General features: G+C 49.4%; 1 protein-coding gene across 2 annotated transcripts, besides 3 other annotated features; it reads left to right on the top strand.

Moving 5' to 3' along the window:
- Positions 2,416 to 2,465: a silencer, noted in NCBI's record as "silent region_12887". NCBI's record gives its function as "represses an Ori minimal core promoter by ATAC-STARR-seq in GM12878 lymphoblastoid cells {active_cell/tissue: GM12878}" and the evidence as "EXISTENCE:reporter gene assay evidence [ECO:0000049][PMID:35858748]".
- Positions 2,606 to 2,725: a silencer, noted in NCBI's record as "silent region_12886". NCBI's record gives its function as "represses an Ori minimal core promoter by ATAC-STARR-seq in GM12878 lymphoblastoid cells {active_cell/tissue: GM12878}" and the evidence as "EXISTENCE:reporter gene assay evidence [ECO:0000049][PMID:35858748]".
- Positions 6,057 to 16,785, top strand: GHRH (growth hormone releasing hormone). 2 transcript variants are annotated; one of them, NM_001184731.3, is made up of 5 exons: positions 6,057 to 6,128; positions 10,963 to 11,064; positions 11,373 to 11,477; positions 13,542 to 13,661; positions 16,643 to 16,785. In NM_001184731.3, exons 2-5 carry the CDS (start codon positions 10,982 to 10,984, stop codon positions 16,656 to 16,658), a joined length of 324 nt encoding a protein of 107 aa, NP_001171660.1. In that variant the 5' UTR covers positions 6,057 to 6,128; positions 10,963 to 10,981; the 3' UTR covers positions 16,659 to 16,785. The 2 variants fall into 2 exon arrangements, with proteins under 2 accessions (NP_001171660.1, NP_066567.1); NM_021081.6 differs by having other exon boundaries at positions 16,640 to 16,785.
- Positions 9,639 to 9,872: a silencer, noted in NCBI's record as "fragment chr20:35886402-35886635 (GRCh37/hg19 assembly coordinates)". NCBI's record gives its function as "represses an EF-1alpha promoter that drives an FKBP-Casp9 reporter gene in an ReSE screen in phorbol 12-myristate 13-acetate-treated (for megakaryocytic differentiation) K562 erythroleukemia cells {active_cell/tissue: K562(+PMA)}" and the evidence as "EXISTENCE:reporter gene assay evidence [ECO:0000049][PMID:32094911]".
- Positions 16,786 to 18,504: the final 1,719 nt, after the last annotated feature.

Genomic DNA, 18,504 nt, shown 5'->3' with positions numbered 1-18,504 from the left:
AAGGCGGCGGTGGGAATCGGTGGAAGGGGCTGGGTTTTCATTCTCCGGGTTCTTTCTGGCTCCCCATCCTCCCCCACCCCCCGCCCCACTATGCTCTTTCTCAGTGGGTTTGAGAATTTACTGCAAATAAAGCCTGTCACCAAGATGGCTCCCAGCCCTCCCCGCCACCAGGCTGCCACCAAGCAGCCCGTTTTTTCAGAGCTCAGCTCTGAAAAACTACAATAACTGCTACCATTTGCCAAGACACTTACATATCAGACACCAACATGCATATTTCTTTTTCTTTCTTTCTTTTTGTGGAGACGGGGGTCTCACTGTGTTGCCCAAGCTGGTCTCGAACTCCTGGGCTCAAGCAACCTGCCTGCCTCTGCCTCCAAGTGTTGGGATTACAGGTGTGAGCCACCGCATCCGGCCAAGCATATTTCTGGTTCTCACAACAACCTGGAGTGGTAGTTCTTATCACCTCCATTGTACAGATGTAGTAACTGAGGCTCAGAGAGATTAAGGGATTGACCTTGCCTAGAATCTCACATGGGGCAAATGGCAGAGTTGGTTTCAAATCCAAATCCATTTGCTCCCATTTTAAGCTTCTCCCTACTCCTGTCTGACGATGAACTCCTGGGTTTACATGACTTCTCCCTTCTCTCGATTCTTGGAACATTTATACTGATACTGTGTCCCTCTCTGCATTTATACTGATACTGTGTCCCTCTCTGGATCTACCTGCCCAGGGTAATGACTCAGCTTCCTCCTGTAGCTCTTTGAAGACAAGCACTGTGTCCAAACACTCTGCGTTCCTCATAGCACCCAGAAGATGCTATGCAGAGGGGAGAGAGCCACCCCACTCCCCTAACTGCAGAAAAGGGACTAAGCCCCTCGGAGATGGACAGCTAATCCAGCAAGCTCTACGTGGGCCTAATTAGTTGCTTAAGAGGGGTTTGTGGGATGAGGAAATAAATGCTCATTTAAGAAATTCGGGGGCAGACCCCCATCGCTGCTGGGGGGAAAGTCAATGGTACAGCCATTGTGGAAAAGACTGGCAGTTTCTTAAAAAGCTAAACCCTCATTATATGACCCAGTGATTCCCCTCCTAGGTACCCACCCAAGATTAATGAAAACATGTTCACACAAGGTCTCCTACTGAAATATTCATAGCAGTTCAGGCAGGGTGACTCACACCTGTAATCTCAACACTTTGGGAGGCCGAGGTGGGAGGATCACTTGAACCCAAGAGTTTGATAGAGAGAGACCCTGGGCAATATAGAGAGACCCCATTGCTACAAAAAAATTTTTTTTAATTAGCTGGGCGCAGCGGATCACGCCTGTGGTCCCAGCTACTCAGGAGGCTGAGGTGGGAGGATCACTTGAGCACAGGAAGTCAAAGCTGCAGCGAGCTGAGATTGTGCCACTGCACTCCAGCCTATGTGACAGCAAGACCCTGTCTCAAAAAAAAAAAAAGTTCGTAGCAGCATAATTCATACTAGCCCCAAACTGGAATCAACCCAAATGTCCATCAAGGTGAATGGGTAAACAAACAGTCATACATCCATACAATGGAATAAAAAGGAACAAACTATTAATACCTGGATCAACATGGATGAAGGTCAAACATTATGCTGAGTGAAAGAAGCCTGACACCAAAAAGTGCGTATTTTATTTGATTTATTATGATTTACTCATCATATAAAAGATTCCATTTATAGGAATTTCCTAGCAAAGGAAAAACTGTAAGACAGCAGATTAGGGGTTGCCTAGGGCAGGGGGCAAGAGTGGAGACTGAGAGCAAATGGGCTAGAGGGAATTTTTGGAGGGACAGAAGCATTCCAAAACAGGATTGTGGCAATGGTGGCACCACCGTATAAATGTATGAAAGCTCATGGAGCCATAGACTTAAAACCAGTGAGCTTTATGATATGTTAACTCTTTTTTGTTTGTTTATTTGTTTTTTAGATGGAGTCTCCCTCTGTCGCCCAAGATGGAGCACAGTGGCGCGATCTTGGCTCCCTGCAACCTCCACCTCCCTGGTTCAAGCAATTCCCCTGCCTCAGCCTCCCGAGTAGCTGGGATTACAGGCGCATGCCACCACGCCCGCCTAATTTTTTTGTATTTTTAGTAGAGACAGGGTCTCACCATGTTGGCCAGATTGGTCTCGAACTCCTGACCTCAGGCAATCCGCCTGCCTCGGCCTCCCAAAGTGCTGAGATTACAGGTGTAAGCCACCACGCCCGGCCAAACTGTTGAAGTTCTTTTTAAAAAAAAAAAAAAAAAAATTAGAACTGGTAGGCCCAGGAAGGGCCTTAGTGTGGGGCAAACAAATTGGAAATCAGAAAACTTTTTTTTCCTTTTTTTTTCAATAGAGACAAGGTGTCACTCCATTGCCCAGGCTGGAGTACGGAAGCACGAACATAGCTCACTGCAGCCTCTAACTCCTGGGCTCAAGTGATCCTCCTGCCTCAGCCTCCTGAGTAGCTGGGGCTGTAAGGAAGTCAGAAAACATGTTTGAGTCATAGCTCTTCCAGCTACTGACTAGCTCTGTGGCTGTGGCTGAGCACGTAACCTTTCATGCCTGTTTCCTCATTTACCGCAATGACAAGAACAGCAATTATCAAAGCTAAATTGTGAGCTCTGCCCTATGCCAGGTCTGCCCTTTATGCAATGTCACAATAATTCTCACCCAAGAGCCTCATAAGTTGAGCTCTATCACTCCCATTTTACAAATAAGAAAACTGAGATAGGGCGTGAAGTCTGTAGCACAATGCCTGGCACAGAGTTTCAACCGAGGCTGGATTCTGAGCCCCATGGCTTCTCCGGCCAACTCCATGTAACCTGCATCTGTGCCCTGGACCAGCGTCCACTCTGGGTGCCCAGCTCTGCATGGTCCCCACTTTGCATTTCCAGGAGTTACCCCACACTTCCTGACTGTGCGAGAGCCCATAGCCCTGGGGCTCCCAACTGCTTCGTCTGCTCCCTGCTGCTGTGACCTGCACTTTTTTTTTTTAAATAATATTTGAGTTCTGGCCAGGACAACATAGTGAGATCTCATCTCTACTAAAAATAAACAAAATTAGCTGGGCATGGTGGCGTGCAACTGCAGTCCCAGCTACTCAGGAGGCTGAGGTTGGGGACTGCTTGAGCCTAGGAGGTCAAGGCTGCAGTGAGCTGAGATCTCACCACTACACTCTAGCCTGAGCGAGACCCTGTCTCCAAAAAATTAAGTAAATAAAATAATAATAATAATAATTAATTTAAAGCTATCAACCCATTTATTTTTATTTTTATTTTTATTTATTTATTTATTTTATTTATTTTTTTGAGACGGAGTCTCACTCTGTCACCCAGGCTGGAGTGCAGTGGCACCATCTTGGTTCACTGCAAGCTCCGCCTCCTGGGTCCTGAGCCATTCTTCTGCCTCAGCCTCCCGAGTAGCTGGGACCACAGGCACCCACCACCACGCCCGGCTAATTTTTTGTATTTTTAATAGAGACGGGATTTCACCATGTTAGCCAGAATGATCTCGATCTCCTGACCTCGTGAGCCGCCCGCCTCAGCCTCCCAAGGTGCTGGGATTACAGACGTGAACCACCACGCCCTGTTTTTATTTATTTTTTTTTTTGAGACAGAGTCTCACTCTGTTGTTCAAGCTGAAGTGCAGCGGCGCCATCTCGGCTCACACCAACCTCTGCCTCTGGGGCTTAAGCTATTCTTGTGCCTCAGCCTCCCCAGTAGCTGGGATTACAGGCACATGCCACTACACCCAGCTAATTTTTTTGTATTTTAGTAGAGACGGGGTTTCACCATGTTGCCCAGAGTGGTCACGAACTCCTGAGCTCAGGCAGTCCGCCTGCCTCGGCCTCCCAAAGTGCTGGGGTTACAGGCATGAGCCACCGCACCTGGCCACTATCAGCCCATTCTTAATCCTTGGGGATCTGGCCTGACCTGACCACTTCGTATCCTGGCCAGCAAGGTGACATACCACTCAAGCCTTGCTTCTATGAGAAACATCTCATATTTGCTAGATGCCAAGAACATGGCTCAGTGCAGGCTAAGAAGGAGAACCACAAAATAGTGTTGCTAAGGGGACTCTTGGAAATTACTGGCTTGTAATTGTGACCCATCGAGGTACCTCAGGGATAGGCAAGGGGGTCTCCACTTCCCCCTCTTCAACCAGAGTAGCCCCATATTAAAAACCTGTCTCTGTAGGTTTCCAAAGAAAGAGTTTTGCTACTTTTTAAAAAATGTTTGGGCTGGGTGTGGTGGCTCACACCTGTCATCCCAGTGCTTTGGGAGGCAGAAGCACGTGGATCACCTGAGGTCAGAAGTTTGAGACCAACCTGGCCAACATGGTGAAATCCCATCTCTACTAAAATACAAAACTTAGCCAGGCGTGGTGGTACGCACCTGTAATCCCAGCTACTCTGGAGGCTAAGGCAGGAGAATCATTTGAACCCGGGAGGTGGAGGTTGCAATGAGTCGAGATTATGCCACTGCACTCCAACCTGGGTGGCAAAGATAGGATCCCTCTCAAAAAAATAGTTTGAAAGTTGCTGTTCTATGTCAACTCTCAAGTTTCCAGGTAGAAACTGAGGCCCGGAGGGTAGAAGTTTTTTTTCTTTTTTTGAGACAGAGTCTCGCTCTGTCGCCCAGGCTGGAGTGCAGTGGCACGATCTCGGCTCACTGCAACCTCCACCTCCCGGGTTCAAGCAATTCTCCTGCCTCAGCCTCCTGAGTAGCTGGGATTACAGGTGCCCACTACCACACCCAGCTAATTTTTGTATTTTTAGTAGAGACGGGGTTTCACCATGTTGGTCAGGCTGGTCTCGAACCCCTGACCTCATGATCCACCCGCCTCAGCCTCCCAAAGTGCTGGGATTACAGGTGTGAGCCACTGCACCCAGCCAGGTAGAAGTAACTTCCTAAGGGTCACAGAGGTCATGATTGACAGGCTTGGGAGAGGCAGCAGGTCCCTAGACTCGAGGCTTGGAGCTCTTTCCACACCTCCACGACGGCCGCCTGGGAAACCAGAGCTTCTGCCTCCTGTGCTTTTATGTCATTCCTGAGGATTTCTTAGCTATAGGCTAGAGAAATCTGGAAACACAACAACTCTCCCAAGGTTTTCCATCTCTTCCCTCTCATTTCACACTTCTCTGAGGCAACTGCCAATGTCTGGCTGCCTTGACAGGTGACGACGGATGCCCCCAGGCTAGCTGTTGAAATCAGCCTGTGACCAAGCAGGTGTAAATCAAATAGTGCAGAATTCTGATAATTGGACGACAAGGGAGATAGGGAACAAATTCCCCACTAAGGAGAGAATAACGCTTATTCATAATGTTGTCTACCCAAAAGTGAAATAAAATTACACAGGGACAAAGCTAAATTATATGAACTTTTGAAAAGGCACATTTATCTTGGAGAATCAATAAACTCTTGGTGTTTCACTGTTATGAGTTCTCCAATTATTTTTAACACATATTTTTTCTTTTTTTAAAAAATATATATTTTGAGATAGAGTCGTGCTCTGTCACCCAGGCTGGAGTGCCATAGCGTGGTCTTGGCTCACTGCAACCTCCGCCTCCCAGGCTCAGGTGACACTCTTGCCTCAGCCACCTGAGTAGCTGGGACTATACCCATGTGCCAACATGCCCAGCTAATTTTTAATTTTTTTCTAGAGACAGGGTCTCATTATGTTGCCCAGGTTGGTCTCAAACTTCTGAGCTCAGGCAATCCACCCGCCTCAGCCTCCCAAAGTGCTAGGATGGCAGGTGTGAGCCACCGCGCCCAGCCGAGTTCTCCAATCACTATTATAGCAGTATATATTCTCTATATCCTCTTGGAATAATGTTACACCTTTGTACTATGTCCACTGTGCCAAAGATAAAAGGAGACTTTACCAGGAGTCTAAGTCTGCAAGGGGCCAAACCTCTTTCACCAACAGGGTTTGTCAGTGTGATATGATGCTAAAAACAGTCCTTTGGTTGACTTGTGGGTAATTGATTCTCTGACGCTGACAACGCTTAGGAAAATGAAGAGATAAATGATGGGAACGCCAGGCGGCTGCCAGAGCAAACACCCAGCCCAGGGCCCCTGGATTTGAGCAGTGCCTCGGAGCAGAGGGATATCTGCCGCATCAGGTGAGAGGGGTGGCCCTGGGGGGGCTAGGCTGGGTGGGGGTAAGAAAAGTTAACCTTCTCACCAACTTAGAAACACTGAGTCCAAGAGGCCCACCGCCATCCTCTTTGCCCATGGACTGGTGAGTACATTTGAGCCCCTCTCTGGATAAAATCACCCCTCAATAGGGGCTCTGGAATAGGCTTTTGATGGTGCTGTTTGGGGCTTGTCTTAACTTGGGCGCGTGGCGGACTGGCTCCAGGTGTCTGTCGCAGGTGGTGAGGTCTCAGTGCTCCTTCGAGGATGCGTGGGCAGGCTTCGGGGGCAAACGTGAGTTGGCTCGATTTTCCTGTCAGCGATGGGATTCTGCCATGGATCAGAGATGAGCCAAGTGGCTGTGCAAATCAATACTGCTCATTGATCACTCAGAACTGATTCAATGTAATTGCCGGGAAATTGATAACATTTTGCTTTCTTGCTCAATTGCAGCCACACTCTTTACTCCAGGTTTTAGACACAATTATCTGCCTTTGGAGTCCTCCGCTACCCCACGCCTGTCTCCTGATCCTTGCTTTAATGGTCCTGAAGTATTTGTGTCTTTCACCATAGACTGCCTCAAACCCCTTCTGGAAGGAGGTGGAGTGTCACTCTTTTGAATGACAGTTCAAGATGCTTCCTCATTAAAAACTTAGATTTCTTTTAACTTGGAATGCTGTCACTGAAACAGTTTATAAACCAGATCAGGAAGTCTATGCTTTGGGGTGCTCAAATTTCAAAGGGGGATATTCAAGGAAGGTTAAAGATGTTCTTTCCCTGGGTTTTCAAAAATGGCCTTGCGAATTTGGGTGCTTGAGACCTGACCTCTGTCAGCTGCAGGTGAATCTGCAGAATTCTCCTGGCATTCCTGGCATGAAAGCTGGCAAAAGGTGCCAACGGATGTAGATCAAGTGCCCGTTTATCCTGAATCCAGGCAATCTCAAGTACATCTAATCCCAGAATCAGTAAGCACTGCAGGAAGCTAACCGATGATCATAATGATAGATTATAAACTCTGGAGTGCCTTCAGTCATCAGGGTTGCCAGCAATGCTGTTGGGCTCGGCTACACTTCATTCAGTGAATTTTGACTCCTTAAGTTGTCATGTGGAATGTGTCTGTTGACAGCTATTTTATTTTATTCTTTGAGATGGGGTCTTGCTCTGACATTTAGGCTACTGTGCAGTGGCACTATCATGGATCACTGCAGCCTTAACCTCCCGGGCTCAAGCAATCCTCCCACATCAGCCTCCAGAGTAGCTGGGACTACAGGCATGCGCCACCATGCCTAGATAAGTTTTTTTTTGTTTTGTTTTGTGTGTTTTTTTTTTTGTAGAGATGGGGTCTCGCCATGTTGCTCAGGCTGGAGCTATTTTATCCTTAGTGACATAACCTCTATTCTTCTTATCTTACCCTACACTGGATAATTCTTGTTTCCCATTTTCATCCAGTGGGATCTGCAAACCCATGGATTCGGTTCTCATAGCTCAGAGGTTGCTGTGGGGTCTTGACCTATGCCTGGGGCACAGGATTTGTGGCAAATGTTGAGCCTCTTGGTTAACTTGTGCAGTTGCTGAGCCTTATCTTGAATGAGCGGGGTATTGTGTTTACTATGACTTGCCCTCCCCACCAAAGTCTGCCCTCCTATGAGGTTGTTTCAACTCCCTGAAACTACTGGGTGTGCATAGGGAGGGGCCAATCAAGCAGGTGTTCCTGTTTGTCCCTGTTCTTTCTTCCCCAGAGGCCCAACAACAAAGAGCAAGAAGCTTTCCTTTTTTTCAGACCCTTTCCCACGTGCAGGTGATGGAGGCTGAGGATCCCTGTGAATGGGGAATACTGTGAATAGAGCATTGTACCTGGGAGGCTGCTGCATGGAGCGGAAGGAAGTCTGCCGGCCTGGGAATGAGGAGGCCCACTCTGAAGTGCCCACTCCAAAACTAATTTGATGGAGGATCATGGAAAATGTCCTTGTCCTCTCTAGGCTCTTTTCCTTGGCTGTAAGAGGAGCATGGGGATGCCTGCTCCAGAGGGAGAGTGCAAGGATGGGTTGTGGAGCCTGATAGGGCACAGGGGCTGGGAATCACTTGTGCCAGCCCTTGGGAGAAGGGGCAGGCAGAGGGAGAGCTTAAGCCAAGAGAAGGGGTTTGAGCTTTATTCTGGAAGGAGTGGGGAGCCAAGGGCTTCTGAGCAGGGGAGGGAGGTGATTGGGGACCTAGATCTGCCTGAATCTTTAAAAGATCAGCAGCAAAGAAGGCAAGAAAGCCAGGCTGCAGCTGGGAGACAGAAAAGGCAGTGGTTTCTGTCAAGGGGCCCTGCTTGCATCCAGAGATCTCTCGGCTTAGGAAATTCCACTTCTGGAGAGGCAGCCTGGACCAGGTGGGGAGAAGGGGGACCAGACGTGGTATGGTGCGATGAGGAGGACGGAAGCCTGCCGAGCCTTGGTCTGAGGAACAAAAGCTTAAGTCAGACATGCGGAACATATCTAAAGGACCAGTCGTGTGGCTGTAGGTGCAGAGGCTCCAGCCCAGCAGGCGGATGTTACACAGCCAGCCCTCGGGGTAGATCCCGTGTTCTCATCTTTTCTCTAGCCCCAGTCCTTACCGGAACAGTAGAGGCTTAACAAACATTTGCAGGAGAAGGAGATTTGGGCTTGACATGGTGAGACAAACTTCCTAACAATAAGAACTGCCTGGGCCTGGCATTGTGGCTCATGCCTATAAGCTCAACTCTTTGGGAGGCTGAGGCGGGGGGATCACTTAAGCCCGGGGGTTTGAAACCAGCCTCGGCAATATAGTGAGACTTTATCTTTACAAAAAATTTCAAAATTAGCTGGGCATGATGGCACATGCCTGCTGTCCCAGCTACTCAGGAGGCTGAGGCAGGAGGATTGCTTGAGCCCAGGAGTTTGAGGCTGTAGTGAGCTATGATTGCACCACTGCACCTCAGCCTGGGCCACAGAGTGAGACCCGCTCTCAAAATAAATAAATAAAGAACCATCTGGAAATAAGCTCCCGGGCCTGGGGGTAGTGAGATCCCTGTCATTCGCTGGCAGCAAGTGCTCACTCGAGCAGGAAGTGGAGGACAGCCAGTGTGCGTGTTGTGGGGATGCTCATGTCATGGAGGGAGGGGCTGACCACTGAGGCCTGGGCTGCTGCTCCCTCCAGCTCTGCAGGTACAGGGTCTCAGGCTGCAGTAAGCAGACCCCCTGAGTGCTGCCTGGGGGCCCAAGGCATCCCTGGGTTAGAGGAGACTTCAGTGCCTTCAGAAAGGAGGGTGATACCCTGAGAGGGCCGGGAGAGCAAGGTGGGTTCTGCCAGTGCTGGCCCTGCCTGCCAGAACTCCTCAGCAGGACCCAGGAGTGGGAGAGAAGGAAGCCATGTGAGGAGATTGTGGGAAAGGCGGGGGTGCTGGCCACCTCCGGGGCTGGCTGGGCTTCTGGATGGATCTACACCCCCATGGAGTAGACATCCTGCTGAGAGAGGGAGAAACCCATGGGAGATGGGAGGACCCAATTCCTAGGTGGCCAAGTCCCCCGAGGCCAGCCGTGTTTCCATGCTTGGGCAGGTCTGGGCTGACAGCAGTGGCACTTGCCCCAGCGGAGGCGGGCTCTGTCCCCTGCTGGCTGTTTTTCCCCTAATTGCAGAGCATGCTGTCCGCAGGCCCCAATTAAGGGTAGTTACAGGACCTATGAGATGACTGCGCCACACTGGATCCCCCGGCTCTTCAGTCTCTTCCAGGACTAAAACTCTTCAGCAAAATCTAAGCATCTGGAGCAAGACTTAGAGCCCTTCTCCCCTCTCTCCAACTCCAAACAAAATTAAAACAGGAAGAGCCTGCCCTCTGAGAGGGTTGGTCTTAGGTAGACACAGCAAAGGTTTCTAGAGAATTCCCTATTGGTTCAGGCACTTACCTCACCAGATCCTTCCAGGAGCCGAAGTAGGAGGTCTAGTTACTATCTTGGTTTTATGGCCGGGGAAAATAAGGCTCAGAGAGGTGAAGCCACTTGTCCTGGGACACACAGCTAATGACAGCAGAGCCAGGATTTGAACTTCCAGTTTGTCTGACTCAGAGCTGAGCAGTTACCCTTGCTGCCTGCTTTCACTGCCACACTGGATGGGGTTGAATGAGGGGCACTGAGAGAAGGTTCTTTGACCTTCCCCATTCCTTGCTAAGGGATCCCATTTATTCTATTTATTTAAATTTTTTTTTTTTTTTTTTGAGACAGGGTCTCACTTTGTCACCCAGCGTGGAGTGCATGGGACGATCTTGGCTCACTGCAACTTCCACCTCCTGGGTTCAAGGGATTCTCGTGCCTCAACCTCCTGAGTAGCTGGGATTACAGGCACACGCCACCACTCCTGTCTTATTTTTGTAATGTTAGTAGAGATGGGATTTCACCAGGTTGGCCAGGCTGGTCTCAAACTCCTGGCCTCAGGTGATCCGCCCACCTCAGCCTCCCAAAGTGCTGGGATTACAGGCGTGAGTCACTGTGCCTGAGCCCAAATCCTACTTCTAATACCTTATGGCAAGGGGAAATTTCCCTACTATCACTGGTTTTTGGTTCAACCCTATGTGGTTGGCAGGGGAGCTCCATCACGCCCATTCTACAGATGGAGAAAATGAAGTCAGAGCAGGTGGCTGGCAGAGGCAGAACATGAACTCAGGTCTGTCTGACTTCCAGTGTCTGGGTTCTTTTTCCCATCCCACAGCTTCCAAAAACCAAGGACCAAGGCTTGCCATGGAGCCAAGCCCAGGGCTGGGCCAGTGAAGGCCATCCCAATGGCTGTGGCTGTACCTGACCTTCCCCTCCTGTCACTCTGCAGGTGCCACCCCGGGTGAAGGATGCCACTCTGGGTGTTCTTCTTTGTGATCCTCACCCTCAGCAACAGCTCCCACTGCTCCCCACCTCCCCCTTTGACCCTCAGGTAAGCAGACCCTGGGGAAAGTTCCCACCACTCCCAAGCCATCCCTGCCATGGGGCAGGCGTTAGTGAATGCAGACTCAGCCCATCAGCTGGGCCCTGGCTATGTCTCCAGGCAGCACCCACTGCCCGTCCTTGCAGAGGAGGCAGACACAGCTTCACAGAGGTCACTCAGAGGGGTCTGAGTCTCTCTTGGGGTGAGTGGGACAGATGGCAACAGAAGGATCTTGCAGAGACATGGCGAGTGCAGCCACGACTGTCCTCTCGCCTGGCCTCCACCCCGCCCTCTGACCCCTGACTCCTTCCGCACAGGATGCGGCGGTATGCAGATGCCATCTTCACCAACAGCTACCGGAAGGTGCTGGGCCAGCTGTCCGCCCGCAAGCTGCTCCAGGACATCATGAGCAGGCAGCAGGGGTAAGCAGGAGTTCTAGTGATTTCTTCCCACACCCTGCAGCAGAGTCTGCAGGAGCTTGTTCCCTACAGGGGACCAGGGACCAATTCAGATCTCTTCCTTGGCACAGCAAGTGTCATTTCTGGACTTCCCATAGCAAAAGGGTTCCAGCGTTAAACCTCAACTTACCTCCATGCCTACCACGTGTCTCTTCAGGCTAGGCTCCGACAGTAACAACACTGGTAGTAGTTACCATTTAATCATGACTCCATGCCAAAAACAAAGGCTCTGCCCTAGGACATTTACAGACACTTGGCACAGTGCTGGGCACACAGATGCCCTTGGTAGTGTCAGCTACTATTATTCTTAGTTTCTTGCTTTCTTTTTTTTAGAGACAGGGTCTCATTCTGTTGCCCAGGCTGGAGTACAGTGGAATGATCATGCCTCATTGTAACCTCAAATGCCTGGACTCAAGCGACCCTCCCATCTTAGCCTACCAAGTAGCTAGGACTACCAGTGTGCACCACCACAACTGACTATTTTATTTTTTGTAGAGATGGGGTCTCACTATTTTGCCCAGGCTGGTCTCGAACTCCTGGCCTCAAGTGATCCTCCCACCTTGGCCTCCCAAAGCATTGGGATTATAGTTGTGAGCCACCTTGCCCAGCTTTTAGTTTCTTCTTTAATCTTCATAACAACCCTTATCCCCATTGTACAGGGTTAATAGCTCTTTTTTTTTTTTTTTTTTTTTTTTTTGAGATGGAGTCTCTCTCTGTCCCCCAGGCTGGAGTGCAGTGGCACAATCTCGGCTCACTGCAAGCTCCCCCTCCCGGGTTCACACCATTCTCCTGCCCCAGCCTCCCGAGTAGCTGAGACTACAGGTGCCCGCCACCATGCCCAGCTAATTTTTTGTATATTTTAGTAGAGACGGGGTTTCACCATGTTAGCCAGGACGGTCTCGATCTCCTGACCTCGTGATCTGCCCGCCTCGGCCTCCCAAAGTGCTGGGATTACAGGTGTGAGCCATTGCGCCCTGGCCCAGGGTTAATAGCTTTTAAAGGACACACAAAGAGTGGCAGAGTTTGGAGCCAAACTGCCTGACTCTATAGCCTATACGTTTTTTAGTTTTTACTTTGAAAAAAATCTCAAACTTACAAAAAAGTTGCAACAAAAGCACAATGGACTTCCATATACACTTCCAATTCCTAACATTTTATCACATTTGCTTACTCTATATCTATAGCTAGATATAGATACATACACACAGAAACACATATGCACATTAAGTATTCTTATCATTTTTGTTGAACCATTGGAGAGTAAATTGCAGTCATCATGACCCTTTACCCTTAGGTACTTCTATATGTGTTTCCTAATACCTAACCAAAGGACATCCCCTTACATAATCATAATATAATTATCAATTATAATCCATATTCAAATTTTACCAGTTGTCCCAAAATGTCCTTTATAACAATTATTTCTTTTTCTGATCTGGGACCCAATCCAGGATCATGGATACCATTTAGTTGTCATGTCCCTTCAGTTTCTTTTAATCTGGAATCGTTCCTCAGTCTTTCATGACATTGACAGTTTTGATTAGTAAAGGCTAATGATTTATAGAATGTCCCTCATGTTGAATTTGCCAGACATATCCCCATGATTAGAGGATGCGTTCCTCTAATGATGATTAGAGGAATCAGGTGATGCATTCACAGAAGTAGTGTTGTGTCCTTCTCAGTGCCTGGTATCAGGAGGCACAGGATGGCAATTTGTGCCATTATTGGTGGATTATTGGTAGATGGTAACTTTGATCAGTTGGTTAACATGGTGTCTGCTAGGTTTCTCCTCTATAAAGTTATTTTTCCCTCTATCATTAATAATCTGTGGGGAGACGTTTTGCAACTGTGTACACTTGTACTTCTGTGCTCTTCATTACTATATATACTGCCTCCCTAAGTGTGGCTGAATCTAATTCAGTTGGGTAGAAGAGTCCACACCAGATATTGAAATAGGCATAGGGATATACCCCTGCCTTTCCACATCCTACCCAAATAGCAACTAGTTCTCTTTTTCTAACCACACAGAGAGAGCAACCAAGAGCGAGGAGCAAGGGCACGGCTTGGTCGTCAGGTAGACAGCATGTGGGCAGAACAAAAGCAAATGGAATTGGAGAGCATCCTGGTGGCCCTGCTGCAGAAGCACAGGTATGGGTGTGTGTGCATGGGTGCATCTAGGGACTTCAGGGCTTCCTACCCCGTGGTTTGCCAGGAAAAGGAAAAAATCCACTCCTCTCTGAAGGTATGGGGCTCTGCCAAACAAACCAAGAACAAGGACCCTCCTGACAGACATTAAGAACTAGGAGAGTGGCTGGGTATGGTGGCTCACCTGTAATCCCAACACTTTGGGAGGCCAAGGTGGGTGGATCATCTGAGGTCGGGAGTTCAAGACCAACCTGGCCAACATGGCAAAACCCTGTCTCTATTACAAATACAAAAATGAGCCAGGTGTAGTGGCTCACGCCTGTAATCCCAGCCACTCGGGAGGCTGAGGCAGGAGAATCGCTTGAAGCTGGGAGGCGGAGGTTGCAGTGAGCTGAGATCGCACCATTACACTCCAGCCTGGGTGACAGAGCAAGACTCTGTCTAAAATAAAAAAAGAAGAAGAACTAGGGGAGTGCCCAGGTGCAGTGGCTCATGCCTATAATCCCAGCACTTTGGGAGGCTGATGGGGAAGGATCACTGGAGGCCAGGAGTTTGAGACCAGCTTGCCCAATATAGTGAGATCCCGTCTCAATCAGTCAATCAATCAATCAATATTAGGAGAGTTCTTTAGTCATGAAGGGTGGAAAGTGTCTGATGGAGACCGCATCTTATCCATGGCTGTATCCCAGTGCGGAGCCAGAGGCCAGGCTCAGTGTCCATGCCCAAAAATGTTACTCACCAAATGGTTCCGTGATACGACCCAGAAATCTGAATTTTAACAGGTGTTCCCAAGGATTCGGCTGCAGGTGAACTGACAGGCATGCTCTGGTTCCCTTGCCAAGTTCAAAAAACTATCAAGCCAAAGACAGACCAGCCCTCCCACACCCTGTGGTAGATGAGTGTGCGCAGACACACGATCAGCAGACGAGAGACGTGATGACTGTCGTTCCCCAGCTCACTGGCCCTCACGTTTCTCCTGGGAGTCTACAGAGGAGGAAAAGTGAGGCAAAGACGGGGCGGCAGCTGGCCCCAAGTCAGGGAATGGCAGGCCCAGACCTGTTTTGCCTCCCTGGAACTTCTTTGCACAAAGCCCCCACTTCATGGGCAAAGTTTCCCAAAAATGTCGTGGTTGTTTGGAGAAACTCTGCTGGGGTTTAGAGCCTGATTTGTTGTTGTTGTTGAGATGGAGTTTCACTCTCATCACCCAGGCTAGAGTGCAGTGGCGTGATCTCGGCTCACTGCAGCCTCTGCCTCCAGGGTTCAAGTGATTCTCAGCCTCCCGAGTAGCTGGGATTACAGGCGCCTGCCACCATGCCTGGCTGATTTTTGTACTTTTAGTAGAGACAGGGTTTCACCATGTTGGCCAGGCTGGTCTTGAACTCCTGACCTCAGGTGATCCACCCTCCTTGGCCTCCCCAAGTGCTGGGATTACAGGCACCCGCCACCACGCCCGGCTAATTTTTTGTACTTTTAGTAGAGATGGGGTTTCACCATGCTGGCCAAGTTTGTCTCGAACTCCTGACCTCAGGTGATCCACCTGCCATGGCCTCCCAAAGTGCTGGGATTACAGGCACCCGCCACCACGCCCGGCTAATTTTTTGTACTTTTAGTAGAGATGGGGTTTCACCATGCTGGCCAAGCTTGTCTCGAACTCCTGACCTCAGGTGATCCACCTGCCATGGCCTCCCTAAGTGCTGGGATTACAGGCATGAGCCACCGCACCCGGCCTAGAGCCTGATTTAACTGCGAGCACAAGCAGGTCCCAGTGTGGCTCTGCTGGGCACTTCTGGTCCAAGCTATTAAGCAAATCCAGTTCCCAGCAGAGCGCTCCATGGCCTCTCTCACCTTCTTCCCAACCCGATTAGACACCACCAGCCCAGAGATTTCACCACCTACAAGCAGCACCAGGCCTACGGCAGATGACAGGAGAGGCGACAACCAGTCTGGGAGGCGGGAAGAACACCTGGGCCCCAGGCCTGTTTCTGCAACTAGCGGCACAGCAACACACTTCTTCGTTTCGACTCTGTGAAAGGAGGGGTTAGCTCTTACCATCTCTAGGGTCCGCAAGACAAGAGTTCAAAAATAATGTCTCTAAGAAGAAGGCCTCCTCTGTGCCTTGCAGGCTGGGATTAAGTAATTGTTCACCTGCTATGGCTCTCATCAGGCCCCAGTAGGGTGGATGGCTCCATGGAGGGCTAATCCTAAGAATGCAGGCTTTGTTCCCGCGAGTTAAAAGCCAGAGGCTTCACGGAGATTGAAATCACAGAGCCCGCAGAGCTGGCAGGAAGGGCCCCGAAGGCTGCTATAGCCATTGTTCCCCCTCCAGCTCAACTGCTGCAAATACCAGGATATCACTGGTGAGCAGGAATAAGTTCCTGCTTTAGAGTGCAGAGTAGAGCCATGTGACAGATGGCACACTTTTGCAGCCATCATACATTGTGTCCACGTAACAGCCCTGTAAGGAAACTGAGGCTCGGGTTTAGCCATCTTCCCACCCCTGTAAAGACCATCCAGTGACTATGACATGCCACACTCTGGACCAGAGGCATAGCAGGGTACAGGACAGCAGCGACCCCTGCTCTCATGGAATTCATAACACACCGAAGCAGCAAGGAACTAGACACGTTCTTGTACAGTCAATTACTTCATTGTGATGAATGGGAAGAGATGCTGGGGAGTGGTGATGGTGAGGCTGGGAGAACGCTGAGCCTGTCTGGGGATTAGAGGAAGCTTCTTCAAGGCGAAGTGACTGGCCCAGGGTCTCGGTGGGAGTTGGCTGGCAGAGCAGAGAGCAGGGGCTAAGCCTGGGACTCGCCTTGCTGGCATGCTTGCGCATCCTTCCCTCCACCCCACACTGCCTCTTTTGGAATCCAAAAGGCCAGCTCCTGTCACGGGAGCACCCGTCACCCTGGTTCCATGCATCCCACTCTAGCCACCCTTACTTCAATTCCCCGGATTGAGCTTGATCTTTCTTTCTGCAGCAGGAACTCCCAGGGATGAAGATTCCTCCTGTGACCCGGGCTACCTGTAGCCAAAATGCAACTGGATCCAGTTAATCCTCTCATTTCTGACCCACTTTTTCCTTTGAAAATACAATAAAATTCCCCCATACCGGTGTGCATTTAAATGTTCTTTTCTCTTCAGCCTAATTTTTTATGTGTTTTACATAGTTACATTTCCCAAAGTGGTATTACGAGGTGTAATTTTTTTTAAAGCTAACATTTACCAAGCACGCAGAGTGCAAACCAGGCAGCTTCATGCATAGGATCTCATATGCTCCTTACACAGGCTGATGGAGGGTACTGGTATCCTCCTCCTTTCACAGACAAGGAATTGAGGCTCAGAAAGTGTAACCAAATTGCCCACAGTCACACCGTGCAAATGAGAGCGCTGGGATTCAAATCCAGGCAAGTCCAACTCAGAACCAGCTCTTAACCACATTCAACTAACTTCGATCAAAGTCATCCTTCACCCACGTGTGATTTGCTCTTCTATAAGCAATACCACTTATTGATTCAACAAACTTTTTTTTTTTTTTTTGAGACAGAGTTTCACTCTTGTTGCCCAGCCTGAAGTGCAATGGCATGATCTTGGCTCACCACAACCTCCGCCTCCCAGGTTCCAGTGTTTCTCCTGCCCTCGCCTCCTGAGTAGCTGGGATTACAGGCATGTGCCACCACGCCCAGCTAATTTTGTATTTTTAGTAGAGATGGGGTTTCTCCATGTTGGTCAGGCTGGTCTCAAACTCCTGACCTCAGGTGATCTGCCTGCCTCAGCCTCCCAAAGTGTTAGGATTACAGGCGTGAGCCACTGCACCCGGCCTTCATTCAGCAAACATTTATAGAATACCCACTCTGTGCCAGGTACTGTTCTGGGCACTGGAGAGATAGTCATGAACAAAGTCCCTGACCTTATAGAGCTTATATTCCAATGCGTGTGTGGTGGGGGAGAGAATAATAAACACAAGTCAATATAGAATATGTCAGATGTTGGCAAGTGCAAAGGATAAAGCTTTAAAGGGCCAGGGAGTGCTGGGGGTATAATTTGATCTACACTGTGTATATGTGAAGGCCTCACTGATGATGTGACATTTGAGTAAAGACCTGAGGAAGAGAGGGAGTTGGCTTTGTAAATATCAGAGTAAAGAACATTTCAGGCAGAGTGAAAACTCAACAAAGGCTTAGAGGCAGCAGTGTGGAAGGACTAGCAAGGGGATCAATGTGGCTACCTGGGCCAGAGCAAGGATGTCAGTGGAAAGAAAAGAGTCCTGGAGGAGCAGGAGGCCGGCTCATGGGGACACTTGGAGGTGTTAAAAAAAAAAAAAGGAACAAATTGACTCTTTAGTGTTTTTTTTGTTTGTTTGTTTGTTTGTTTTTTGAGATGGAGTCTCACTCTGTTTCCCAGGCTGGAGTGCACTGGCACGATCTCGGCTCACTGCAACCTCCACCGCCAGGGTTCAAATGATTCTCCTGCCTCAGCCTCCCGAGTAGCTGGGATTACAGGCGTGTGCCACCACACCCAGCTAATTTTTGTATTTTTTTAAGTAGAGACAGGTTTACGCCAGGTTGGCCAGGCTGGTCTTGAACTCCTGACCTCAGGTGATCCACCTGCCTCAGACTCCCAAAGTGCTGGGATTACAGGTGTGAGCCACCACCCCCAACCCAAATAGAGTTTTAAAGATTGAATTGGCTTTTGTTAGCAGTTCATGAACTGGGCAGCATCCTGAGGGGGACTCTGATAAGCTGAGTGGGAGTGGGCCTTACAGGCAAAAAGGGGCTAAAGAAGCAGAAACAGGGCACGAAAAGCAGATTGGTCATTTCAAAGTTACCTTCCTTCTGGGGTTAAA

The sequence above is a fragment of the Homo sapiens genome, chromosome 20 (assembly GCF_000001405.40).
Source record: "Homo sapiens chromosome 20, GRCh38.p14 Primary Assembly".
Taxonomy (NCBI): domain Eukaryota; kingdom Metazoa; phylum Chordata; class Mammalia; order Primates; family Hominidae; genus Homo; species Homo sapiens.
The sequence above is the reverse complement of the archived record's forward strand: the minus strand, read 5'-3'. Positions and strand labels throughout refer to the sequence as shown.

What these genes read in the sequence shown, in the direction of transcription:
- GHRH (NM_021081.6), top strand. Translation starts at nt 10,982, where the DNA reads ATGCCACTCTGGGTGTTCTTCTTTGTGATCCTCACCCTCAGCAACAGC. An exon ending in CCTCCCCCTTTGACCCTCAG is followed by an intron (nt 11,065 to 11,372) that starts GTAAGCAGACCC and finishes CCTTCCGCACAG; the next exon opens with GATGCGGCGGTATGCAGATG. An exon ending in ATCATGAGCAGGCAGCAGGG is followed by an intron (nt 11,478 to 13,541) that starts GTAAGCAGGAGT and finishes CTAACCACACAG; the next exon opens with AGAGAGCAACCAAGAGCGAG.